The 27,870-nt window shown below is 34.2% G+C and overlaps 1 protein-coding gene and 1 pseudogene across 1 annotated transcript in view; one reads left to right on the plus strand and one right to left on the minus strand.

Annotated features, from left to right (window-relative positions):
• The window catches only part of FOXP2 (forkhead box P2), a 607,439-nt gene that overhangs the window by 187,296 nt on the left and 392,273 nt on the right, over positions 1-27,870 (plus strand). The window contains exon 2 of the transcript NR_033766.2: positions 14,397-14,487. The gene's annotated coding sequence lies outside the window, so the exon portion shown is untranslated. The remainder of the gene's footprint in view (positions 1-14,396; positions 14,488-27,870) is intronic.
• On the minus strand, positions 23,445-23,840 carry RPL36P13 (ribosomal protein L36 pseudogene 13; annotated as a pseudogene).

Below are 27,870 nucleotides of genomic sequence, written 5' to 3' on the forward strand. Positions count from 1 at the left end.
TGCTCTGTTGTTAGGTACATACATATTAAGGATTGTTGTCTTCTTAGAGAATTGACCCCTTTAACACTATTTTTATCTCTGAAAACTTTCCTTGCTTTGAAGTCTGCTATGTCTGAAATTAATATAGATACTCCCATTTACTTTTGATGAGTGTTAGCATGCTATATTTCTTTATCCATTTACTTTTAATCTATATGTGTCTTTATATTTATTTAAAGTGCATTCCTTGTAGACAACAAATAATTTGATCTTATTTTTTGGTCCAGTTTAACAATCTCTGTCTTAGTTGGTGCATTTAGACCATTGATATTCTGTTGGAGTAATATCTACCATATTTATTACAGTTTTCTATTTGTTGTCCTTGTTCTTTGTTCCTATTTTTCTTCCATTTTTTCCTGCCTTTTGTGATTTTAAAGATTTTATATAATTTTATTTTTTCTTCTTTCTCAGCATGTCAGTTCTTTTTTTTTCTTTTTATTATTGTCCCATAGTTTGCAATATAGACTTACAACTAATCCAAGTCCACTTTCAAGTAACACTACACCACTTCATGGGTAGTGTGAGTACCTTATGAAAACAATTGTAATTCACCTCTCCCATTCTTTGTATTACTACTGTCATTCAATTTGCTTATATATAAGCATGCATAAGCATATATACACATATACATGAGATATGTACATTGAGATTATTTTGAATGAACTGTTATATGTTAGATCAATTAAGCATAAGAAAAATAAAAGTTTTAATTTTACCTTCTCTTATTCCTTCTATTATCCTCTTCCTTTCTTTATGTAAATCTGAGTGTCTGACCTGTATTATTGTCCTTCTAGCTAAAGAATTTAACATTTCTTGGAAGGCAGGTCTACTGGAAACAATTTCCTTCCGTTTTTATTTGTCTTATAAAATATTTTTCCTTCACTTTTGAAGGATAGTTTCACAGGGTATGGAATTCTGGATTGGTTTTTTCCCTCTCAAAGCTTTTTTTTTTTTTTTTTTTTTTTTTTTTTGAGGCAGGATCTTACTCTGTTGTCTGGGCTGGAGTGCAGTGGCACGATCTCGGCTCAAGGCAGCCTTGACCTCCCTGGGCTCAAGTGATCCTTCCATTTCAACCACCCAGGTAGCTGGGACTGCAGGCATGCACCACCATGCCCGACTAGTTTTTTTATGTTTTTTGTTTGTTTGTTTTTTTGTTTTTTTGTTTTTGTATTTTGTAGAGATGGGGTTTCACCATGTTACCTAGGCTGGTCTGGAACTCCTAGTCTCAAGCAATCCGCTCACCTCAGCCTCACAAAGTGATGGGATTGCAGGCTACCATGCTTGGCCCCTCTCAACACTTTAAATATTTCATTCTATTCTCTCTCCTTGCTTGCATGGCTTATGAGGGAGAAATTAGATGTAATTCTTATCTTTTTTTCTGTATAAGTAAGGTGTTCTTTTCCTCTTTATTTTTTCAGGACTTTTTTTTTCTTTTTCTTTGAGTATCTGTAGTTTGAGAATTATAAACTTAGGTGTAGTTTTTTGACATTTATTCTAATTGGTGTTCTCTGAGTTTTCTGGATCTGTGGGTTAGTGTTTGACAATATTTTGGCGGAATTCTGTCATTATTGTGTAGAATATTTATTCTGTTTCTTTCCCTCTCTATTCTCCTCTTGTATTCCCATTATGTGTATATTAGACATTGTGTAGTTTTCCCGCAGTTCTTAAATACTCTGTTTTGTTTTCTTTAATCTTTATTCTCTTTGCTTTTTAGTTTTAGAGGTGTTTACTGAGATATCCTCAAGTGCAGAGATTCTGTCCTCAGCTGCATCCAGTTTACCAATAAGTTGTGTCCTGTCTACTAGTAAGCCTTCATTTCTGTTACAGCAGTTTTTTAAATCTCTAGTTTTCTTTTTGTTTGTTTTTTGTTGTTGTTCTTTCCTAGGAGTTCCATCTCTTTGCTTCTATTGCCCATCTGTTATTGGGTACTGTCTTCTTTATCCATTAGAGCGCTTAGCACATTAACCATAGTTTTCATAATAGTTGTTTTACATTCCTGGTCTGATAATTCCAATATACCTGCCATGTCTGATTCAGGTGTCCTTTCAAATTATGATTTTTGCCTTTTGATATGCCTTGTAATGTTTTCTTGATAGCTGGACATGATGTACTTGGCAAAAGAAACTGCTGTAAATGGGCCTTTAGTAATGTGATGGTGAGGTTTGGGAAGACAGAAAGCATTCTATAGTTCTAGGATTAGGCCTCAGTCTTTTAGTGAGCTTATGACTTTTGATTGTGAACTTCACAAGTGTTTTTCAGTTTTTTCTCCCCCTCACCCCTTAGGTGGGAGAGGATGGCTAGCTTGGGTTGGAGCTGGGCATTTCTTCTCTTAAATGGAAGGCAAGAGCTGACTAGAGTTGAATATTTCCTTTCCTTCAGATCAATTAGTTTTTGATAATGTGATACTATCCCAGCGGGGTAGGCTCTGGTTAACTAGTCTCTCCTGAGATCAAGGCTTGTTGAGAAGAACAGAGTGCTCTGGCATATTTTTATTGTTATTTATGTATTACTTTTTGAGACAGAGTCTCACTCTTTCACCCAGGCTGGAGTGAATTGGTGTGATCTCGGCTCGCTGTGAGCTCTGACCCCTGGTTCAAGGGATTCTACTGCCTCAGCCTCCCGAGTAGCTGGGATTAAAGGCATCTACCAACATGCCTGGCTAATTTTTATATTTTGTATTTTTAGTAGACACAGGGTTTCATCATGTTGGCCAGGCTGGTCTCGAACTCCTGACCTCAGGTGATCCACCCATCTCAACCTCCCAATGTGCTAGAATTACAGGTATGAGCCACCACACCCGGCCACTGGCATATTTTTAAATGGTTCTTTTTCCCCTCCCCCTGCTGGAAACTTGAAGTGATGTTTCTTTGATATCTACTGTGAAAATCCATTCATAATGGACAAGCTGGTGGGGGAGTATACCTGGGTCCCCCTGGAGTTATCCTTTTAGGATTGTCCTCACTGAAATTCCATCAAGGCATCAATTACAGCTCAGGTTTTCCTGTTCTGGTACTGGTTCCCATAGTGGTCATGATAGGACTCCTTGGTTTTATTGTCTACCTCTTCAGTCCTGGGGCCAGTGGTTTGCACTGCATCCTGACCTCTCTTACAGATCTTGGAAGAATTGATTTTTCAGCCTGTTCAGCTTTTTACTTCTTGTTAGGGTGGAGTGGTGACTCCCAAGCTCCTTACATGTGGAATTAGAAACCAGAAGTCAGCTTATGTTTTTAAAAACACACTGTATCTCGACATCTCAATAAAACTTTATTAATCTAATAATACTATGGAAGTTTTGGAAGTAAAAATATATAGTGGAGGTGATAAATTAATGTCTGAAATGGTATATACAGCATTAAGATTGCCTAAAGAGATCAACTAGTTTTCTCCTCTATCATAGGAGCTCCTAAACCAGATATGGAGGGGTTTAGAAGTCGGAACCCACTGGCAAATAATTAACCTCATCAGGAAAGTTCTTGTAAGAAGGACTGATATTGGGTGATGAGTTTAGCAAGGTTGAATCATTGAGAAACATTTTCAGTAGCTAAATGAATATGTTTGCAAATTTTATTATTTTTGTTTTTGATAATGTTTCTGTAGGTTTTAAAAAGGGTATCCCCAAAACAATTTTCTAACATGTTTGACTTGAAACACAGTGAGGAATGCTTTAAGGCAATTCAGAAAACTGTGAGAGTGGGGTTTGGAATTGCCCACCGTCGTTTCAGGGATATGCCTTTAACTATTTTGAGTACCTAGAGAGCATCTTGTCATTCTTTGGCTTGATATCTGGACAGCTCCTAGCATAGTGCTTATACCTACGTGATTTTTTATAAATATTGGATACAGTCTAGTGGCTAAAGACCATTAAAAAAAACCAAACCCCTGACTTCACTTGCAAGCCAGTTTCCTACAGATTCTCATCTGAGTAAAAATATATATTTTATAAAATTTTCAACAATATAGTCATAATTTCAATCTTTTTCAGTTCTAACACTAATGATGCTGTTGTAAGTTTTTTGTTTTTAAATCTTATCACTTATTGACCTTGATAATTTGCTTTATTTTATACTGTATGTTGCTGAAGAAGTAACTATTATTTGATTAAAAAAGCAGAAAGAGGCGGAGGTGGATGGATCACTTGAGGTCAGGAGTTGGAGACCAGCCTAGTCAACATGGTGAAACCCCGTCTCTACTAAAAATAAAAATAAATAAATAAAAAATTAGCTGAGCATGGTGGCATGTGTCTAAAATCCCAGCTACTGGGGAGGCTAAGGCAGGAGAATCACTTGAACAGGTGGGTGGAGGTAGCAGTGAGCTGAGATCGTGTCACTGCCCTCTAGCCTGGGCGAAAGAGTGAGACCTTGTCTAAAAAAAAAAAAAAAAAAAAAAAGAATTCATCCGGGATATAGAATAAAGTAAGATACTAGAATCAAATGATGATGTAAGAATTATTCTCAACAACAATTAAATAAATAAGCAATATAAGCAATAGCTGTTTAAAAAAGGATGCTCACTTCTGTTAATGAAAGAACAAAAAAGAGAAAAGAGGCAAAAATGTATTCATTAAAAATGCCAGCCTGAAATTTGGATTATCTATATTATAATACATCCTTCTATTGAGTTAGAGATGAGATTATGTAAGAAAATTCAAACAAGCTGTTAAAACATTTCATTTCATAAGCCATATACCTGTGTTGTTTTACTTTTTTTTTTTTGAGATGGAGTCTCACTCTGTCACCCAGGCTGGAGTGCAGTGGTGTGATTTAGGCTCACTGCAACCACCGTCTCTGGGTTCAAGCCTTTCTCCCCTCTCAGTCTCCCGAGTAGCTGGGATTACAGGCACCCACCACCATGCCTGGCTAATTTTTGTATTTTAGTAGAGGTGGGGTTTCACCATGTTGGCCAGGCTGGTCTTGAACTCCTGACCTCAGGTGATCCACCCACCTCGGCTTCCCAAAGTGCTAGGATTACCGGCGTGAGCCACCGCACTGACCTATTTTACTTTAACAAATGTATACAGTAGATGAATATAAATCTGTGAAGTAAGCAAAATTGGAACAGAAGACTCAGTATTGTAAAATGAGCATATTTTCTAAACCAAGTACTGTAAAGTGAGTATATTTTCTCACCCAACCTCAGCTCCTTTGAACCTGTGTTCTGTCTTCATTTACTTTGCTGAAGTTAAACTGACTCTCAGAAGAAAATCCAGTGCCTGACCCAGTGCATGCCAATGCCAGTGATTTTTTTTTTAAAGCACTGCTCAGCACACTGCCCAGCACACTGCCCAATTCAAGTTGCATTCAGGAGCTTTTATTTTATGAAAAATAAATTCTGGGTTATATGGGTAGATTAGAATAGAAGGTGGAGGTACCTCGGTGTTGGTAGAACTTTTAATTCAAGAAAATGGAAGTGTTGAGGAAGCTGTGGATAGGCAGGAAATCAGAGTTTCATAAATTTAAATTGCTTTAATATTAATTCAGAATTTTTGAAACAAATACCATATCCTGGATGATAATATACTGGTGTTACCCTTGAAACGTTTTTATAACAAAACATTAACGTGTAGAGGATGCTCCTTACTGGTAAATGTATTATATTGTGATAGAGGCTGAGAGAGCTGATAGTAGAGTAGGACTACAGACTTCACAAAGAAAGGATCTGGAATTGGGATTGTTCAACAACTGATAGAACATGAAAATCTGAAGTTGTTCAGAATTGTCAGAGTCCTTATATAGTGGTGGTTATTTATTCCTCAGATGATTAGGAAATCCAGCAACTCCCAATATCCTATTTTTCACATACTTGAAAATACTTTCTGTGAGGTTGGAGTTTTACTTATCTAGACTGCCTGTGTCACATTTCCCCTAGTTTGACAAGAGATGGATAGAGCATCTCTAGCAGCAGGAAAGTGGCTGCATAGTCATTTTCATCCATATTAATGCATACTTGCTTCTGTAAGCCATGTTTACACACTTGATCACTTTGTTATTTTGCTGAAAATGAGAGCTTCTTGTCAATGAAAATAAGAGAGGGAAATGAAAAAATGTAATCCAGTGAATTGTTTTGATGATCATAAATGCTTATGTCTTAAACTTGTTATATTAGTTTAAAAAAAAAAAGCATTGTTGCTTAGCATAGAAGAGGTGATGAGCTTACCTGTTTTCTTATGTAAGAAAGAAAGGAAGGAAGATCAGAGGCAGGAGGGGGTGAGAGAATAAAATAAATACATGAAGCACCTTTAAATATGATGCATTTTTTTAAGGCTTAGGCATCTTACTGCAATAAAGAACTTGAAACTAAAATGAGACCATTCTGTATAATCTGAGTCTATTTAAACCTGCTTTAGCAATTCTACTAATAGCATTTCTGAATTTTTCTTTGCTGGTTTTTTCTAATTTAGTCCTACCAGACTCTCAGGCAAATAAATAAATAAATAAATAAATAAATAAATAAATAAATAAATAAAAACAGGTGGTTTTTGAAGAAATTCTTTTTTCTTGACTTGCTGGTGTATTTTTTGAGCCCTCAACTGAGCACATGCCCCCGTAGAATGAATTAAGTCCAGTCTGTTCTAACCTAGGAAATTGTGTTTAACTTACTGCTTATGATTATAAAATTTTTTTACCTTTGAATCAGAATTCATCCTTTAATTTTATTGTCTGAAATTCTTTTCCTCTTTCCAATTTTTCATATATTACTTTTAGTGACAGTGTCAAGAGCACTGTGATTTTTTTCTCTCCCACAGGATATTGGAAATACCAAACAGTATTTATGTTATTTTAGACATGTATTATTCTTCGCTCATCATAGTAGCGTACATTTACATGTTTATGGTTTATGTGACTTTAATAGCTCTCATAATTATTTTAACAGACAGTTCTAGTTAGCATGAACATTTTTTATAAAAGCTATACTCTGTTCTATGAAAAGTGAGATACAGTAACTACAGAAGCCTTTGTCTAAGTTTAAATGTCGTCAAAATTATTTTATTGCCAGTAATATTTTATAAAAAACAGATAAAAATTTAAATATACTTAAAAGTCTTTGGCTATTAGAATATAATAATTATTCTTTTGATTACCTCATGAGAAATTCAGAAGGGTATTAGGTTGTGATTCAGACAAGTGTGTCACTTTCTCTACCTGCCTCAAAAATAATTATTATTTTCCCAGGACAAATTGCTGTTATAGTTGGTATTACCCTGTGCTTACTTTTGCTTACATGATATCACATTTTAACTTATGATCTATCCTTGTCCTTGGAAAATATCATTCACTTAAAAGCATACTTACTACATGCTTAACCTGTCCTTAAGCATAGTCAACACTTAGGGTGTCTTTTATCTCTGTCTCTCTAGCAGATCATAAACTTGGTATATAACAGATGTTTAGTAATTGCAATGACTGAAGGTGAGAAAGGCTTTTTATGCAATTTGAATTTTTTTTTTTTTTTTTTTTTTTTGAGACAGAGTCTCACTCTGTCGCTGAGACTGCAGTGCCATGGCGTAATTTCGGCTCACTGCAACCTCCCCCTCCCGGGTTTAAGCAATGCTCATGCCTCAGCCTCCCAAGTAGCTGGCATTACAGGTGCCTGCTACCATGCCCGGCTAATTTTTGTATTTTTATTAGAGACGGAGTTTCACCATGTTGGCCAGGCTGATTTCAAACTCCTGACCTCAAGTGATCCACCCTCCTTGGCCTCCCAAAGTCTGGGATTACAGGCATGAGCCACCGTGCCTGGCCTGAAATTTGATTTTAAAGTATTTTTACCTGTTTTGTGTAAATATGATATTGCATTTTTAAACAGTTCCATCAGGGAGCTCTTACTTTTGCTCTGAGTAAAATCCAAGAAGGCAGAAACCTACAACTAACTGTCCCAGCATTAGACTTTTCTTTGATGATTGCTTGCTAACTTCCATTTTACTATTACTCTTACTAGCCTGCTTATTGATTAATTTTTGATTTTTACATTATCTGACAGAACATTATCTGCCAATAAAATATATATATTTAAGTATTTCCAACTTGAAGCTAGAAAGAAATTTATAAATATAAAACTGACTGAAAACACAATTGTCCTATTCTTGAATAAATATGTTTCAAACTGTACCCATAATGTCAGCAGGGTTAATTTTCATTGTGGCTCCAATTTTTTTCAAGGTACAGTTTTATTTCATCTCTATTTCTGTGAATGTATCTTCTTAATGGATTTATTAGGATGTGGTAGAGTCTTGAAGGATCATTGGCTCCACTTTCTTAGATCCAGGTACTGTTAACTGAGGGGTAGGTCAGTCAGGCAAGAATAAAGCTTACATAGGCCCCACTCTGTACAGATAATGCTTACATGTTTCACTCAATGTGGCTCAAAGAGAGCAAATTTAAGTTCTCAGTGGTAATTAAAGTACCTATGCTTAGCAATTTTCAAGAATCTCCTTTTACCTCAGTACTCTACAAAGATATTAGAAGGATAATTTGAGAAACTCATGGAATAAATCTGTTGTAGATTAGCTATAATTAGTATTTATGTATATATGTTTAGATCTGCGTCATAGCTTTGCATCATATGCAGTCTTCACTACAGTGGAGTTCTAGTATTAACTATCAAAACTACAAATTATGTTTTATTAAGGTATAGTTTAAATCACTAGTTTTTGAACTTTAAACAATATTACATACTTAACTCCAAAATTTATGACCTCAATAATGTTTTTTTGAAGTTCCAAAATATAATTGATTTTGCTCCACATTAAATTAAGGCAGTGGGACAGAGCATTCCTTTATTCCCTCCTTTGAACAATCATTGAATTAAATTTTGAACTAGGATTACTTAAGGATATCTCTGTCCTGGTTTATATCTTACTATCTATTCTACCTAAAATTTCATTTTTAAATTCCCATGCCTGTCTAGTTTTATGTTTTTTAGTCTACAGATTAATACATTCATTCAAGAAATATTTATTGTGTGACTACTATGTGCCAGGGAGTATTCTAGGTTCATAGGATTAATAAATAAATTAAACAGACAAACATCCATGTCCTTGTGGAGTTTAAACTGCTTTAATCAAAGTGGGATGGTAATTATAATGGGCACTGTGTATCTCTGGTGGCAGTTTTACAGCATTTAGCCTTTGCAGAAGTAGCTTTTAAACATTTTAGCTATTTATTTTTTCTGTTTGCAACATCTGTACAAATGATAGTAATATGATGTTTCTTTCATGCTAATACAAAAAAGAAAATGTCTGCTACATAGTGCCTTCTGAGCTCTTTGTAAATTTTAGTAGGAATAATGTAGGCACTGCTGCCTCCTGAGAAATCTTACCATATTCCTCAGAAGCCTATGATTACTTTTTTAAAATTCCGTTAGCATACATCACCATTACCAAACAGTTAAATTTGTTATTAATTTGTGAATTAAACTTGTGAGTTTGTTGCCTTGACAGAATTTGGTTGTTGATTTTCTCTTCACTGAAATGTTGGTTATAATATCAGCCTTCATAGCCAATCAACAATTATCTACTTTCTCTTGTTTGGCTATAGTTAACTACCCTGTTTTGAGAAAATTAAATAATCCTTAGTTCTCACCATTATTCAGGAAACCATGTGCTATACAATATTAAAACAGTATTTAAAATGTTAGTATAATTTTTCTGTTGAACATCAGTTACACATCAAGAACTATATAACACATGTATTTTATTTCTTTACTCCTAATTTATAATATATTCTTCCAAATCATGAAATTCACCAGGCTAAGGATTTTGTATTATGATATTCAGCAGTAGAATTCAAAAGACACTTGTTTTATCCTTAAGCTTTATATGATGTAATGTTTTCCTTTTCATTTAGAAAACAATTAAATGACAGTATTTCTTTTAGGATTCATCTTCATTTTTATTAATTAGAAGACAATAGAGTAGAAAATATTAACAAAGAGTTCCAAGTAGCTGATTAGAAGACTAAATCTCTTTTCTATAAATAAATTACTAGAAAAAAATTAAAATTAAACAAAAATAAATCACCTAGGCTGGGCATAGTTGGCTCATGCCTGCAATCCCAGCACTTTGGGAGGCTAATATGAGAGGATTGCTTGAGCCCAGGAGGTCGAAACCAGCTTGGGCAACATAGGGAGACTCTGACTCTACAAAAAGTGAAAAAATTACTCAGGTGTGTGGCTCACACCCGGAGTCCCAGCTACTTGTGGGGGCTGAGGTGGGAGAATAGCTTGAGCCTGGGAATTGGAGACTGTAATGAGCTACAATCGCACCACTGCACTCTAACCTTGGTGACTGAGCAAGACCCTATCTAAAAAGAAGAGCAAAACAAAACAAAACACATAAAAAAACTAATAAATCTTCTACTAATTATTCACTTTATCTAATATAATTCCTTACAGAAGATAGGTCAAATGGTCTGGGAATGTCTGAGTGATGTTCTTTTGCCTGCCACAGCATACCTCAACAAATTTGTAATCCAATTTAAAAGGCTAGAAGAAATTAGAAAAGGGAATGTTTCTATACATGAATGGCACACGGATCCTTTCACTCAGGCAGAGTTATCTGACTGCCTAAGCTTCAACTGGGTGCTGCTCCTGTATATACCCTGTCTCTCAGCACATTGTTAAAAAAAAAAAAGCCCATCCCTTACATATTCCTAACCATATTGCATATTCCATAAGAGCAGAGTTGTGATTTTAACCCAGAACCAGGACAGTGTGTGACATATAGTTGCAACAAATAATGTGTGTGAATGTGTGTATATAAGAGAACTCTAGTTAGCCTCTCTAGTTCAGTTTCTGTCTCCTTCAAATTATCTTATTTTCTTTTTATGGCTTTAGGTTTCTAAAATAAGAGTTTTCTATATATCATTAAGTGAACATTTGGTTCTGATTATTATGATCACTGTGCACCATAATCTATGCTATGGAAAAAAAGGAATGCTTATACGTTGTTGGTGGAAGTGTAAATTAGTTCAACCATTATAGAAAACTGTGGCTATTCTGTAAAGACCTAAAAACAGAACTACCATTCAACACAGCAATCCTGTTACTGGGTGTATACCCAAAGGAATATAAATTGTTCTGTCGTAAAGACACATGCTCACATATGTTCCTTGTAGCACTATTCACAATAGCAAAACATGGAGTCAACCTAAACGCTCATCAACAGTAGACCATGGAATACTATGCAGTCATAAAAAGAAATGAGGTGATATACTTTGCAGGAACAGGGATGGAACTGGAGGCCATTATCCTTAGCAAACTAATGCAGGAACAGAAAAGCAAATACTGCATACTTACACTTACGAATGGGAGCTAAATGATGAGAACACATAGACGCATAAAGGGGAACAACAGATACTGCGGCCTACCAAAGGGTTGAGGGTGGGAGGAGGGGGAGGATTAGAAAAAATAACTAAAGTGTACTAGGCTCAATACCTGCATGACAAAATAGTCTGTATAAGAAGTCCCTGTGGCATGAAATTACCTGCACTGTACCCCTGAACTTAAAGTTTAAAAAATAAATAATAAAATTAGTTTTTTGGGTTTTTTTGGTATGTGACTTTCTTCAAGAAATACAGGCACAGAGTTAAAAAATCAAATGGAATATAGGGATTATTAAAATGAAAAATAGCAGCCCTGTGGCTTGTATTTTCTCACTACCTACTTCAGCTACACAGTGGCAATGTGCTTCTGGTATTTACTTCTATTACCTAAATAATATGCTTATTGCTATTTCTTCATTTATCAGTTTCAACAGGAGTTTTGAGTAAAGAAAATGGAGAAGTTTGTGGGAGAGAAAGGTATGTAAATAAGAACATGACATGAGATTTAAGCTAATATATTTTACAGTAGAGGTGCCCATAGGGTGCTTTGAGAGCATAAAGAACATAGACATGTTAGGTCTTCCAAATTGTTTTGAAGAATAACTTTATAATTTATGCTTTTGTTAGCAGTAAACAAGAGTTCTCATCTTTCTATATTCTTATCAACACTGCGCAGAATTCATTCAAATTCATGCTCTTCTGATGACATAAAGTGGTATCTCATTGGTTTTTTAATTTGCATCTTCCTGATTGCTAGTGATTTTATGAGTTTTAAACAGTATGGGCTTCTGCTTCTGAACATTTCCTTTTCAAGGTTCTTTGCTCATTTTTCTATTGGTTTCCTCTGAATATATAAGTATATGTTAACCAGTATTAATTCCTCATTGGTTTTAGGTGTTCTCTCAGTTTACCTATGAAATTATCTATGGTATCCTTAACTGAAAATTTTCATTTTTTTAGCAAAATCAATTAATTTTATGTCTTATCATTTATGCTTTTTAGGCCATGTTTCAGAAAGTTGTTACATGTGTGTCTCAAAAATATTTGCCTAATTTTTTTTCTTAATAACTTCTTTAATCTCTCAGAAATTCAAATTTCTATATGGTGTGATAAGGTGCCCACTTTACTTTCTGCCCGATTCTTAGATCAGTTTTTGCTCTATACAGTAAGCCAACACCAGTATTTTCTTTTACTTTGTGATGTTATTATATATAACACTCTCATGTATGTATGAGCTGTTATATATATGTATATATGAACTCTATGTGCCTGCAGCTGTACTGGGCTTTTTAGTACATGTTAATATTTTATAGAGTAGGTTTTCTCTCTTTGCCCTTCATTTTTGAACTTTACTTTGATATTAATAGACCTTTTATAGCATATGCTTTTAAATGGGTTTAAAAATGAGTTTGTGGATTTTCTTTTAAAAATCTAGAATTTATAGACTGATTTAGAAAAAGTTGGAGAAGTTTCCCTATGAATATTGGCAAGGGAAAATAAGTCAATATAAAATTATGAAATAATTTAGACTTATACTAAAGAAATCCACTTCTTTTGGTGGCATATATTAGGCAGAGTATAATTGTGGAAGAAAAATTAACATAAGGAAAGCCAAGAGTGGGGCCTGCTAATGTAGAAAATTTTATTGTTAAGAGAAATGTGGACAACAGAACCAATAGAGAAAGAATAAAAGGAATATGAAGAACAGGAATTCCAATTACCTTAATGTTTATGACTTTGAGTTACCTTAATACTTACAATTCACTAAACAGTGGTTTCGGATTATGCTCTGTAGAATACCTAATGCTTTGTGAACACCAAAAGTACCCAAGGAAAGGAGTAATGGTGGCACTGAGTATTTGGAGGTGGGATTCAACCAGAATACGTGATTGTTAATTGGCCCTGGACTAAGGTTTTATTGCAAGAAAGGGTTCTTTAGCTTAAAAGTGTTTAGAAATGATTTCAATACAATTAGTGAAATGTCTAAATGTTCAACAAAGATGGCAAGTGATGCCAGTCATCCTTTTCAATGCCTATGGCAGACATTGCTAATTGAACACAGAACTTCCTGTGGCAGATTCAGATTTACTCTCCATACAGCTCTCCATTTAGTCACTACCGATCAATCAGAGTGTTATGTGAGTCAAAACCCATTTACTATCTATAACAGGGGTATCCAATCTTTTGGCTTCCCTGGGCCACATTGGAAGAAGAAGAATTGTCTTGGGCCACACATAAAATACACTAACACTAACGATAGCTGATGAACTAAAAAAGAAAAAAAAAACTGCAAAAAGTCTCATAATGTTTTAAGAAACTTTACAAATTTGTGTTGGGCTGCATTCAAAGCCGTCCTGGCCACGAGTTGGACAAGACTGAGCTATATAGTACTAAGTTCTATAATTTTAGTGGACCTTCAATACATTTAACATATTTTAGTCTAAGAAAGGTGTGAGCTAAATCTCTCAGATTAAAGAAGGAAGAAACTAGAAAACGAGAGTAGTTGAATCGGAAATGGATCTGGGAAATACAAACTTAAATAAGCATTTAAATAATGATCCTTACATTGTGATTATGAGGAGTAAATGCTTACTACCAATTTGTTAATTGTGGAAAATCCTACAAAGCTCATTAAGTATGTGTTGAAGAGGCAATTGAAATCAGTTATGTTTTCAGTTAAGAAATTGGAGACGCAAATAATTTTTTCTGTAAATTATAAAAGTTAATCACTGAAAAGTTTAAACTTGCCAAATCAATGAGAGTGGGAAACAAAATCTCCATCTCTTGGAAGTGCATCTTATGCTGTCTCCGTGGCCTTTGCTTTATACCAAACAATGTCTTGAAAGTTCTCTAAATTAAAATGTAGAAAAAGCATTTTTATGTGTATTTGAATATTCACAAAGTAATGCATGTTAACATTAACAATTTTTATTTTAAAGGATGAATATGTTTTATGTTCTGTGAAGTCACTGCACTAATTGTGATGTAAATTTAAATTTAATTTTCTAAGCAGTGACAATTATTTGTCTCTATTAACAGGTCTACTCTAATGTGATGCTGGGATTGAATTTTCCTAGGACTCCGTTTCAAGGTTAATTCGAAAGTCTTGTGGAAGATCTGGAAGAAACAGGTAAGTGTCCTTTTGGTAAAAATTCTCCTTTGGTCATTGTGCTTATTTTTATTTTTCTAATGCTGATTTTACTCTTTAGTTTTTTTGGTTAAATATGTTTGCCCAAATGTTAAGAAGTTGTTTTCAGCGGACAATTGAGACATGTTAAGTGTGGCAGTAGAAATATTAATCACTGCTATTGGGATTCCCATTTCACTGCTTGCTGCTCTCTTTCTATTAAACTTGGTATCACTTTTTAAAACCAGTATACACTTATGGGGAATATGAATTTGGTTTGAAATATTAAAAGTAAATTATTAGGCAAGGAAAGCACTTGGAGAATCTTGTTACCATTGTACTTGCCTTTTATTATGCTGGTCTTTTCAGTATTATTTTTTAAAAGTTCATTTGGTATTGAAGTTTTGGGGGGATCTGAAATATTGAGGAAATAATGAGAATAATATACCAGTAATGAATTTTTTTCTAGAAAATTTGATTTTTCTAATACAATTTTTGAGATCCAGTCAGCTATTTTGAAAGATTTGTTTTCTTTTTTAATGTTGAGTATCTTTAAATCTCATGATAGTTTTCTTTGATATGTACAATGTTAACATATAAACTTTCTCAATATATAATATTTATGTAAAATTGGATTTTCAGTTTCACTGTTGAACTGTAATATCAATCAAACGGTTTGTCATGAGTATCCAAATTTAGAATAATATAATTTTAAAGGAAACCTAAAAGCAATTTTAGGCAGAGTTTGTATTTCAAAGCTTCCTAGTAGTTTATATCATTTCTTTCCCCAATCTTTACCTCAAGAGAGAGGGAAACCAAAATGCCCGGGCTTCTTCAGAATTCTTCATTAAGAGTTTCACCATGAGCATAGTATAGGCCTCAGGATCTTCACTTTCTACCTAAATTTCTCTAGCAATTTCTACAACTCTCTCAAGATACACTTCGTAATTTCTCTGAGAGATTTTTGTCAATGTTCTTTAATTATACAGTTAAATATTTCCCAGGTATTTTACCTTCTGTTTGGCCTATGGATTGTTTTTTGGTTCATTTCTTACCAGTTTTAGTATTTTACCAGATAGACATTAAAATGATCCCACATTTATCTAACATTTAAGATTTTCAAAGCCCTTTGGCAACCTTTTACTTCATTTTACTCTTAATTTATGATGTAAGTAAGGTTGACATTATTATTCTTTGATAAGTGGAGAAACAAAGACAAGTAATTAAAATGATCTGGAAAAAGTTATGTAGCTTGTTGTGATTTTATAGCTAGTAATAAACAATTAGAGATAGAACACATGTCTGCTAACACTCAGTCTTTTTTGTGGTGAGTGGGGACATTATTTGTATGTTTGCCATAGATAATGGTTATACCAATATACTCTATCTTTATATAGCCTTTTGATATATAAGTTATTACTTTTGAGTAACAGGATGTTTATTTGTATCATAGCAGATGGAGTTTAGATTTATAATAAGCAGGAATGATCTAACAATGAACCAGGAAAGAATGAATCATGGAATCATGAAAGAAACTATTTTTTAAAAGTAGAGAATTCCTAGAAGAGAATATAATTGCACTTGAAGTTAGTCCTCAAACTGATTTTGGAATGTGCTACTTAGACTTTTGGTAGTTATGTGCTTATAGTGGCAGTTTTTAAATATTTTTAAACAAACACTAACCACATATTGGTGTAAATAATGAATATGCATAATGCCAAAGGTTCATCCTAATGGGAAAGTGAATTCTGAAAAAGCATTATTTTTTCTTGTAAATGTATAGAATTTTGAACCCTTGAGCTGGAAGTATGATTATAAGGGAGGAAGAAAATGTTGGAGAAGCAAAGATTTTGGGGTCAGGTTGATAGGAGTTTGCATCCTTGTTGCTATTTTTTGGCTTTTTAAATTAACCTCTGTTAATTTTTGCTTCTCAGCTCTCAAAGAGTAAAATAGGGGACTGATAGATCTGTTTATTGTATTCTTGTGAAAATTTAGCACTTGGTACATAGCTATTTTCAAAAAATACTGGATTTTTTCTTCTCTGCTCCCTTCCCCCTAGAAAATCCACTAAATGGAACTTGGTTCAAACCTCCTATTTTCAAACAATTTTTTTTTTAGTTTTATCTCCATTTCACCTCTCAAAGAAGTTAAATAACCTGCCCTACATAATACTTATAACATGGGAACTAAAATGTTTCATACAACTTATAACTGAGATTATTTGTATATGTGGGTAAATGCATAGTTAGGCATGTGGGTGGATGTGTTTTACTTCAAGATATTCAGTTATTTTCAGAGTTTCCACTGCAAGACTATTAAGCTCAAATGAAATATCAGTTTTAGTTAATTCAGTAGAAATAATTTTCATTCATATATTTATAGAAAATTGCTATAAATTTCATAAATACTTATTAAAGATTAGGTATCATATGAAAAATATTTGCTCTATTTTTGAAATTATTAAAAAGTAAATGGACTATGTAGGAAGCTGGTTTGGCAGACAGGGTGTTGGGTCAGCAGTTCAGACAGATAGTGTACTGACATTCATTGTCAAAAGGAAACAGAGTGAGCAAGACTGCAAATAGAGGGTTTAGAGTGGAGCTATTGAGAATGCAAGGTTGGAAATCAGATTGCCTGGGTTTGAATGATAGTTCCAATACAAACCTACCTTATATGAAACCTTGAACAAATCACCAAGGCTCTTTTACGCTTAATTTGTCAATCTAGAGAATAGAGATAACAGTTCGTATTTAATACAGTTGAATTGAGGATTAATTGTGTGAACACATAAAAAGGGCATAATGAACATTTAAAAAGTCAGTATTATTTTATTTTCCATTATATTCATTTCAATCGTTGACTGTATTATTCAGGCCACATGGAAAATACCCTGTATAGGATAATCTAATTTATGTCTAATCATGGGTCTTACAAGAAATGCTAAATATGAGTTAATTCTGTATCTTAGTTATTTTATGCTGTTATAACAAAGTACCATAGACTGAATGGATTATAAACAGAAATTTAATTTCTCACAGTAATGGGTGCTGGAAGATTAAGTTCAGGGTGTCAACCTCTGGTGAGGGCCTTCTTTCAGGTTATAGACTGCCATCTTCTTTCTCGTGTCCTCACATGGCAGAAAGGGGATGAGAGAACTCTCTGGGGTTCCTTTTATAAAAAGGGCACTAATCACATTCATGAGGGCTCCATCTTCATGGCCTAACTACCTACCAAAGGTTCTACCTCCTAGTACCATCACATTGCGGGGTAGGATTTTAACATAGGAATTTGGGGACAACACAAATATTCAGTGTATTGCATTATGTACCTGTGCTCTCTGTGTTTGGTTAGAATGTGTATTAGTTTTCTATTACCATATGATGAATTTTCATATATGTAGAAGCTTAAAACAACATACATGTATCATCTCACAATTTCTGTGGGTAAGGAGTCCAGGCACAGTTTAGCTTAGGGTCTTAAAAGGCTGCAATCAAAATGTCAGCCAGGTTGCATTTTCATTTAGAGCTCAGGGTCCTCTTCCAAACTCACGGGTTTTTGGCTGAATTCAGTCCACTGCAGTTTTAGGACTGAGATCCTTAGCCTCTAAATTCCACCTACAGTTCCTCCCATGTGGCACTCTCCATACACAGTTTACAAATAGCAGTCTTGCTACTTTAAAGCCAGCAGGAGAGCTAGCAAAATGGAATCTATATATAATACATATATAATGTTTTATATATATATAACATTTTATATATAATATATAGATAATATATAGAATATATATTATAGATAATATATAGAATATATATTATAGATAATATATAGAATATATATTATAGATAATATATAGAATATATATTATAGATAATATATAGAATATATATTATAGATAATATATAGATATAACATTAAAACACATACACATATATGTGTGTATATATGGATGTGTGTGCATATATGTATGTGTATAATGTATGTATGTATTTTAAAATAATCATCAGAGTGACAATACACAACCTTTGCCATGTTCTGTTGGCTGGAATCAAGTCACAGGTCCTGCCCACACTCAAGGGGAAGGAATTTTACAGGGCATGAACTTGGGGGCCACTCTAGAGACTGTCTGCCAAAGCATGTTAAACTTAAAATTCATGAAATATGTTACTTTAACGTTTTATAATTATGTTATAGTTAATAATAAGAATATTGTTGAAACATGTAAAATTTTATTTTCATAGAGTTTTCTTACAGTACAGTTCCCAGCAGACTATTCCTCTTTGCCTAAAATTCATCCATTGCTTCAAGCTGGCTAAAACCACCAGACTAATTACAGCCTAGTGTGGTATTTAGTACACTCCAGAATGTGGCAAAACCCAAATATCTTACCTTTTCTCTTTACTCTGATATGTATACCTTTAACTACATGTTTTACGCTTTCTTGCCTACATCTTTGTCAATGTACATCTTTCTCATTGTTTCTGTCCCATTCTTTATCTTTTTAAAGCACATTTAAATTTCTACCTTTTCCACTATATTTTTCTTATTTCTTACCTCCTTTTTAGCTAGCCTAGGACTTTTTCTGCATAGTATCTTACCCTATCATAGTCAATCGGATGTTGCAAACATGTGATCATTAATCTCATTCCCCTGCTATCCATAGAGATCACAGAATGTTGCTCATTTGTGTGTTTCTTACAATGTTGCATATAATAGTATCTTTAGAAATATTCACTGAATATGTAAAACACCTTCTTGATTTAGAACAGTGGTCTAACAGCCAGTATTCATTTTGACAGTCATATTTCAGAAGATGTTCTTTATAAGTTATTCATTCGTATATTGGCTCAGTAATTTGAAATATATACCTCGAATAACCCTTAAGTTACTTGTGAGAATCCATTACAACTTACACCTTTGAAACCAATTACATATGGGAAAAACACGAATCACTGGAGTCCAGAGGGATAGCTGTGGTAGGCAGCCTCTAAGATGGTCCCCATTTTCTGGTTTTCACTCCATTATATTTTTTCCCCCATATTTACCAGGGTTGGCCTATGTCATCAATAGAATACGGCACAAGTTCTGTTTGCTGGTATGTTGCTTTTCTGATTAGGTTATGCATGATATTAAGACATATGTTTTGAGTTTCCTTTCTTTCTCCCTCTCTCTTGCCTCTATCTCTCTCTGTTTCTGTCTCTTATCTTTGTCTCTGTTTCTGTCTCTCCCATTCTTTCAAATGACTTGCTCTGGGGGAGGCTGGCTGCCATGGAGAGGTATTCATAGTGAGGAACTAAGCCCTTTAGCAAACAGCCAGGAAGGAGCCCACAAACAATGTGCAACTTCCTGAAAGACTCTGAGTCTAAGCCACCCAGCTAAACCACCCCTTGATTCCTGAGCCTCAGTAACTATTTGAGATATGATATAATTTGGCTGTGTCAGCACCCAGATCTCATCTTGAATTGCAGTTTTCATAATCCCCACTTGTTGTGGGAGGGACCAGGTGGAGATAAGTGAATCATGGGGCAGTTCCCCCATCCTGTTCTTGTGATAGTGAGTTCTCAGGAGATCTGGTGGCTGTATGGGGGGCTTCCCCCTTCACTAGGCACTCATTCTCTCTCCTACCACCCTGTCTTCAGAAGAAGTGCCTTCTGCCACTATTGTAAGTTTCCTGAGGCCTCCCCAGCCATGTGGAACTGTGAGTCAATTAAACCTGTTTACTTTATAAATTACCCAGTTTGAGGTATTTCTTCATAGGAGCGTGAGAACAGACTCATACAAGATAATAAATGGTTTTGTTCTAAACTGCTAAGTTTGGGTGGTAATTTTTATGCACTCATAGATAATTAATACATTATATAATATTTCAGCCCTAAAATTATATGCACAAATTTCAGCACTGCCCTTGACTTTGAGGGGAATATAAAGATTAACAGTCTATGAAATATGATGTCTCTCAGGCATATGTAATAGAAGAGATAGGTATGTATATTTACAAGATAGCCAAATGGAAAGAAAATGTGAAATGTTTAGATTCACCTGGAATACTGATTTTGCAACATGCAGAAGCTGCTTTTAATATCTTGCCCATTGATCATATCAATGTTGGAGAGTTGTGCTTACTCATGACTGCGTACGTCTGCATGCTGGTCTGATACTCATTCTTTGTAGAAGAGCTGCTTGGAATAAATACCCATATGCTAACAGGATCTGGGCTTGCAGTATCTCTTCTACTAATCTATCCTGATAGTTTTCTGCTATCTTTTAATGCCCTTTATGGAGGTGTAAATACTAGAGTCACACGGAAGTATCTAGATATGTGTACACATATTTGGAGTGCTGTACTTTGAAGCATTGAGCTCACTAGAAAAATAATACGTTTGGTTTCCAGAAAAGTGAATTGAAAAGTATGTATCAGCAAGTAATAGAACAACATTTAAAAAAAATAAATTCTCAGCTGGGTGTGGTGGCTTACACCTGTAATCCCATCACTTTCAGAGGCTGAGGCAGGGGGATCACCTGAGATCAGGAGTTAGAGACCAGCCTGACCAACATGGTGAAACTCCGTCTTTACTGAAAATACAAAAATCAGCTGGGCATGATGGTGGACGCCTGTAATCCCAGCTACTCAGGAGGCTGAGGCAGGAGAATCACTTGAACCCGGGAGGCGGAGGTTGCAGTGAGCTGGGATTGTGCCACCGCATTCCAGCCTGGGCAACAGAAGGAGACACTGCCTCAAAATAAATAAATAAATAAATAAATACATACATACATACATACATACATACATACATGCATGCATGCATATATACATACATACATACATACATACATAAATTCTCATTAAACCATAATTCCAAATTTCATTCCTATTGATGTGATGATAGAATTTGGACAAACATAATGCACTATATTAAAAAAAGAAAACGATAACTTGTTCATATTTTTAAATGAGAGTTTATGTTTATAGTTTTAAACTTGTGGCTTGGAACTATCCGCTAGTAAAATTTTTGATATCATTATACAAAATAGAAAATATGGATTTTAACTGGCCTGCTTTTCAATTCAACTGAACATTAAGTACCCTTTTAATGGTCTTATTTGCTGGGAAGTGCACCATTACAATAATCTGCTTTTTACAGCCCATATCAAGTATGAACCAGCATCACTTATTACAAAGTTTGTGCTTTGGGAGACATTTTCATGGCATCTAACAGTACTACCCCACATTTCTTGGAATTAGTCTTTAATGATATCATTTTCCAAAATGAGTTGTTGCTCAAACTTACTGATTGTTTTGTGGTTAAAATCTAATCCAGCAGCTATATTTAAAATGTCATACAAATTTGTAAGGAAAGGTTCACTGAAACTACTGTTACATTAGTAATTGTATGAAAATGCTGTAGAAGAGATACCATGCAGCTTGAATGTTTTCGTTTTTTTCCCCTATATGATATCCAAGGGATGACTATGAAACCTCATTTTAAACTGTTGGCAATTTGAGTTTTTACTATTGTCTGCCAGAGAACAGAGGACTATTACTGTAGGTGTCATGTAAAATGAAGTTATAGTCTGAAGCCTCCTTTTAGCTGTCAGCCTTATTAAGGAGCTCTTCATGTGTTGAACCTGGCACCTGGTATTGTATAAGCAATGCATGTGAGAGCCTGGGGAGAGCTTTCTTTCTCTTTTCTGTGGCCTTTATTAGGCTTGGCTCACATTTTCACTGTTGCTTTGCCTTATTCCAACTTTTTAGCTGCAGCTCACAGCACAGTAGGTCTAATTTAGATTGACTCCTTTGCCTGAAGACTGATTGAAACTTGTGTCTCGGAGTTGCTAATGCTCACTGAACCATTTTATTGAAGATAAAGTAAATAAAATAGATTGCCATAGGAGAATTCTCTGAAATCAAATGGAATAATTTGCCAGGTTTAAGCCCATAAAGAAAGCAAAGCAGTGAAACAGAATACTTTTTATCTTCAGTATATTAAGGGGTAAATATTCTTGATATGTTAGACCTAAAATATTTAGGTTTTTCAGTACAATTAAATGTTAAATATAATTCTCAACTGCCATGTTATTTTTGGTGTTAAACAATGGGTTCTCTCCAAGAGAGTAATATGAATAAAAACTTTTGGGACTACAATATTGTGATGATTTTTTTTTCTTTCTCTTTTTGTGACACTTAAGTGTATGAATCAGTAGTCTCAGATAATTTAATAAACAACACAAATGAATGGATTTGCCAGAGTACACTTTAGAATCCTAAGTTTGGAAAATAGCAGTAAACCTTAGCTTACCCAAAGATAGTATTAATTTTGAGCATTTTATTCACTAATCAAGATTATGTGTTCACATAAGAACAACCTTTTCTGAAAAGTATCCTGTGGAGTTTTTTTTTTCTTTTTGAATAAGACTGTTAGGTTTAGTCAAAGAATAATTACAATATATGTGTTTTACATATCATGTGAAATAATTAGGGGAAGGAAGAAAAATGTTAGAGTGACCTTAGCATCTTGAATCCTGTGAACTTACAATAGCATATAATGCCGCAATAACATATATTGACACATATGATTTGTGAAATACAAAGATCTGAGCCCTTGCATGAAGATATTTTGAACATCTGATGCAGAGAAATGAAGATCTCTTATATGATTGCTAGGTCAGATGAAAAGTAAACATTTATAGAGGACAGATCAATAAAAGAATTTTATAAGAAAATTTCTGAACTTGCTGATTAAAGGCAGTATCTCTCTTCAACCTTATAAAGATTCTGTCACATTAATCTTTCTCTTATAATTTATCTTGTAGTTTCTCCAAATTTAAGATAATTTCTATCTGTGCCCCTCTTAAATGTGTATAGTTAATTTTTTAAAAATTTTGCTAAAACATTTCATTTGTTTCACAGGTGATGATTTATGCTTACTTTTTAGTTATATCCACTATATGCATTTTTTTTTTTCCTGTCAAGCTGCCCTTTATTTCAGGGAGAGGGCAGGGCAGGGGGCTCAGTCTTTCTTGGCAGCGACTTTCCTCATGGCGCCCAGAACGTTTCTCAGCTCCTCCTGCTTCCTCTTGGCGTGGATGTGTCCCCACCCTTTTCTCGATGAAACTTGAGGGCCCGTTTGTCCTTGGAGACCTTCAGTGACTCCATGGCGCGCAGCTCCTATGGGGCGAACCCACACACCTCTGAATCATGTCCCACGCAAACTTGGTGTGCTTGGTCAGGCGCCCGTGGTGGCGGCTGTGCCTGGGCTTGCTCACGTTCTTGGTCACCTTGTGGCCCTTGTTGAGGCCCACTGTCATAGGGGTAGCCCAGAGCCATGGCTGCTGCTCTTCAATGGCTGCCGTAGTGGAAGCACTATATGCATTTTTTGCCTCTAAGTGCCCAATAGTCCATCAATTCGCACAACTATTAACTATTTTTTATAATGATTTCCACTAACCCTGTCACAGTTAGGCATAAAGGATACATTACATTCTCATAAGAACAATAAGCCATCTGAAAGAAGTCCTTGACACTTTTTTGCCTTTTAAAGTAACGTTGTCAGTTAAGAGCTGCTTTAGTTCTTGACCATAACTTTGACTATTTTTCCTCCATGGGATTCAGTCAGTTTCGAGGTTCAGTCAATTTCAGGGTTCGGGTTGTCTCCAAAAGTATGTGAGGCTGAATAAAAATAAACATGCTCCATGTTCCCTTGTGAGTGAACTGACAGAGAGGTTGTCACATTGTAGTTTTTCCTCATATAGTGGGGCTGAAAGTATAATTAGTTACCCAATATTTTTAAAATAATGCTGTATTTTTAGTGTTCCAGTGCCGTTATATTGTATACTTATCTTCATTATTATATTCTATACTTATTTCCTTCTGATTGATCAGTAAGTGTTAAAGTCTATTCCTTTATCTAGAAGTACATCTTATTTGCTATGGACTCCAACCGTTTATTTCTTTTGAGATTTTGGTTTTGAGTGTGAACTTGCCCTCAGGAAATCGTGTGTCAGGAAAAGTTTTCTCAAAATGAGGAGAGCATTACATGGAAATCTGACAAAGCTTAGTTCCTTTAACAATATATTCTAGACTTGTAGCAACATGCCAAACTGCAGATCAGAGAACTTGTAGCAGAAGAGCTGCGTTTGTTAAGTCATTTCCTGTGCTCACCCTTGACTTCTCCTGTCTCTCTGTTCGCCACTTGTTTCTGCTTTGTCTTTATGCTTCATTCTCCTTTTCAAAATACTTCATTGTCTCCTTTATATTATTAGTATTAAGTAGTGTATGTTCTTTGATATTACTGTCTGGTCTCTCAGTCAGCACGCTGAGCTTCAAATAATAAAAACGATAATAGTAATAACAATAATAATACTATCCAACATGTTGTAATATCAGGTATTCTTCTCAGTTATCCACCAGCATTAGCTGACTTAATATTCCCAATCTAATAGTTACATACTTGTGAGGTAGAAGGCAATATAATCTTCATTTAACAGATGAAGGTGTGGTGCTCAGAAAAGTTAAATAATTTGCCCAGTGTTACCTGGTTACTGTGTGACAGAACTAAGACTTGAACTAAGGCAGTTTAGCTTCAAATCTCTCCAGTAGTCTATTGCCCAGGACAATTGAACAACTTCTCTTCTCATGTGGTTTCCCTGGTGGCCTGAAACACAGTATGTATTTAAGCATAAAAAGGTTTATGATGCAGTTCCACACCTGTATATTAAATTTTTGGAAGCCAACATAGTCGAAATCAGTTAACTTCTGAATTATGGAATGTATTTTAAATAAGTCACTTTACTTTCAAATAGAGGCACGTGGAGTAAGGTATGAAAATATTAGTAAGAACTCATGAACCATACGTACAAAATTAGAAATAATGACTTGTATTTAGTGTTTCAGTCAACTGAAAGGGATTGTTTCATATACTTTAAAATTTTAGTAGGCTAACATGCATTCTGAAACTTTATTTTTATTTTCACTATAGGTTTAATTATCTTACATAATTATAACAAAAATATACTAAAACTTAATTTGCAATCTTAAAAATATACTGCTCAAGGTAAATAACTATACAATATATCATTCAAGATGCTTTTGTGAGTAAAAAGGATTCTGTTAGTATTTACCCCAAGCAATAGGTATATATTGGGACTATCTTGGGTGAAGATGTATGGACACCCTACTTGAAGCAGAAGCTGTTAGTTGTCATTCCAACATCCTTTCTTCTCTTTTTTCTTTGCTAACAGAACCCTGATGTTATTAAGACATACTTTATTACTATACATAACATATACTTCATGGGAAACTGATCCCATATCTAGTTCCAAGAGGTGGATCCTGACTAGGTAAAACCAATTATGATAATCCTATTCTTTTGCCAGTATGGCTTATTTATATTTTTTTATTAATTTAATTTATATTAAATAATGTTAAGTAACTTCTCTAAGGTTATATAAATAAATAAATTTAGTGTTTAATTTATTAAACATGAAGCCCTTTCTACCTCTTGATCAACTGGGATGGTAACTTTCTATTTAATATATTTTGATTTAGAATTTTTGTCACTTAAAGCTATAAATATTCTAACTAATATACTCATTTTAATCATTATTTGAGGAGTTGGACCCTCACCAGACTTTCACATTACAGGGATTTCTATTTGCATAATGCAGGGTGGGTTTAGGGAAGAGGATTGAGGAGCTTTAATAGGGAAAACAGGGATGGAAGTTTATCTCCCAAGAGTTCAGAAAGGTTATTAAAATGAATCAAAAAGTGGTTTCTTTGTCTTTTGTCTTCTGAAAATGATTTAAGGAAATCAAAGGATTACACAGTACTCATTTACACTTTCAGGTTGACATAGATATTCCTTGCAATTTCTGTGACATTTTCTTACAGGAAGGCTTATTCCAATTCTTCCAGCAGCTACCCTTACACACACTCACACACACACACGTACACACACTCACACACACACACAACTTTACTTTTGGTGGGATTTTTGATAGGAAATGGAAAAGAGATTTAAGCTACTAGCTTTTTCTTATCTGAAGATAGCTGCTTCTCTGGTTCTTATTGTTATACTTTAGGCAATTAGATATATAGATTCCATATTTCCTTACATCACAGATGACGATTCAATCTATATAACCATAGGAAAGGGAACTGGTTAAGTTAGAGTATATAAAACAATAGAATAACAAATAATATTTAGATAAATGAATAATGCAGGTGCGAAGCACTATTTAAATAACATATTTTGTCCTTAAAATATGTATTTATTTATTGGAAAATTATTATTTGCAAAAATATCAGTGATTATTTCTGGGAGATAGAGGTATATAAAAGATTTTCATTTTCCTATTTATACATTTAATGATTTTCTATATTATTTCAACTTTGTTCATCAAACCCATTTTTTTCCTGAAACAAGAAAAAATATTAAAATAAAATAGAAAAAGTTCTTATTCTCAACTGGTTGCAATTCTCTGAGTAGTACACTACTATAGGTATAATTAACCAGATGCCTCATTCCTCAAGCATTCTTAGTAATAACGATTTAATATATCTTTTCTTGTGTTTCTGCTCAGAATTTTAATACCTGTAAAGACAATGTTGTTGTGAATCACAACATCATTAGAAACTGGAATTTTCACCTGGAAAGTTTTTTTTCATTGGTATCTGTACACTTTTCAAAACATGTAAATGTTAGCTACTAAATGGCTTATCTTTAAAAACTGTCTTTCATAAAATCTGAAAAGCACTCCTTTTCATTGTGAGAGATAATTTAGAATTAATCCTAAGACAGAGCTGACTAGGCCAAGTGATTCTTAGCCCCATGAGACAATGAGATACAAATCCCCTTTTGCACAACCATGTTTTAATTCTCCCTTTACTAATATGAAAGGTAAACTTTTAGATATATATTTGAGATATATTATTTCAAAAATCAATATAATGTAAATGATTGATATGCTGAAATTAGAATTTATATTCCCTATCTTAACGAAATAGTCATATAAATGCCCTACTTGCAGAATAGCCTTAATTTTAACAGCCAAAAAGAGTGATACATAGACCATCATTAGTGCTGTTTTTCAAAACGCTGAAAACCAGACAAGTGAGAAACAAAACAAATATTACTTTGATATAAGAATCATTGAACTCCTGGAAAGTTCATTCTATATTAAGAATATAAAAATACCTTTATTTCATACATAAAATAAGGTTAGGTCTAGTCACAAGTTTTTTAGTTTCACAAATATTTGGAGAAAGTCTTGAAAGATGCAATGGCATTCCTCATTATTGTGGATGACTACCAAACATAACTCCTGTCCACACGTTAACAGTGTCTCAAATTGTTGTTACACTCAAAAATTCTCCCCATAATTTTCAAAACT

The sequence above is a fragment of the Homo sapiens genome, chromosome 7 (assembly GCF_000001405.40).
Source record: "Homo sapiens chromosome 7, GRCh38.p14 Primary Assembly".
Taxonomy (NCBI): domain Eukaryota; kingdom Metazoa; phylum Chordata; class Mammalia; order Primates; family Hominidae; genus Homo; species Homo sapiens.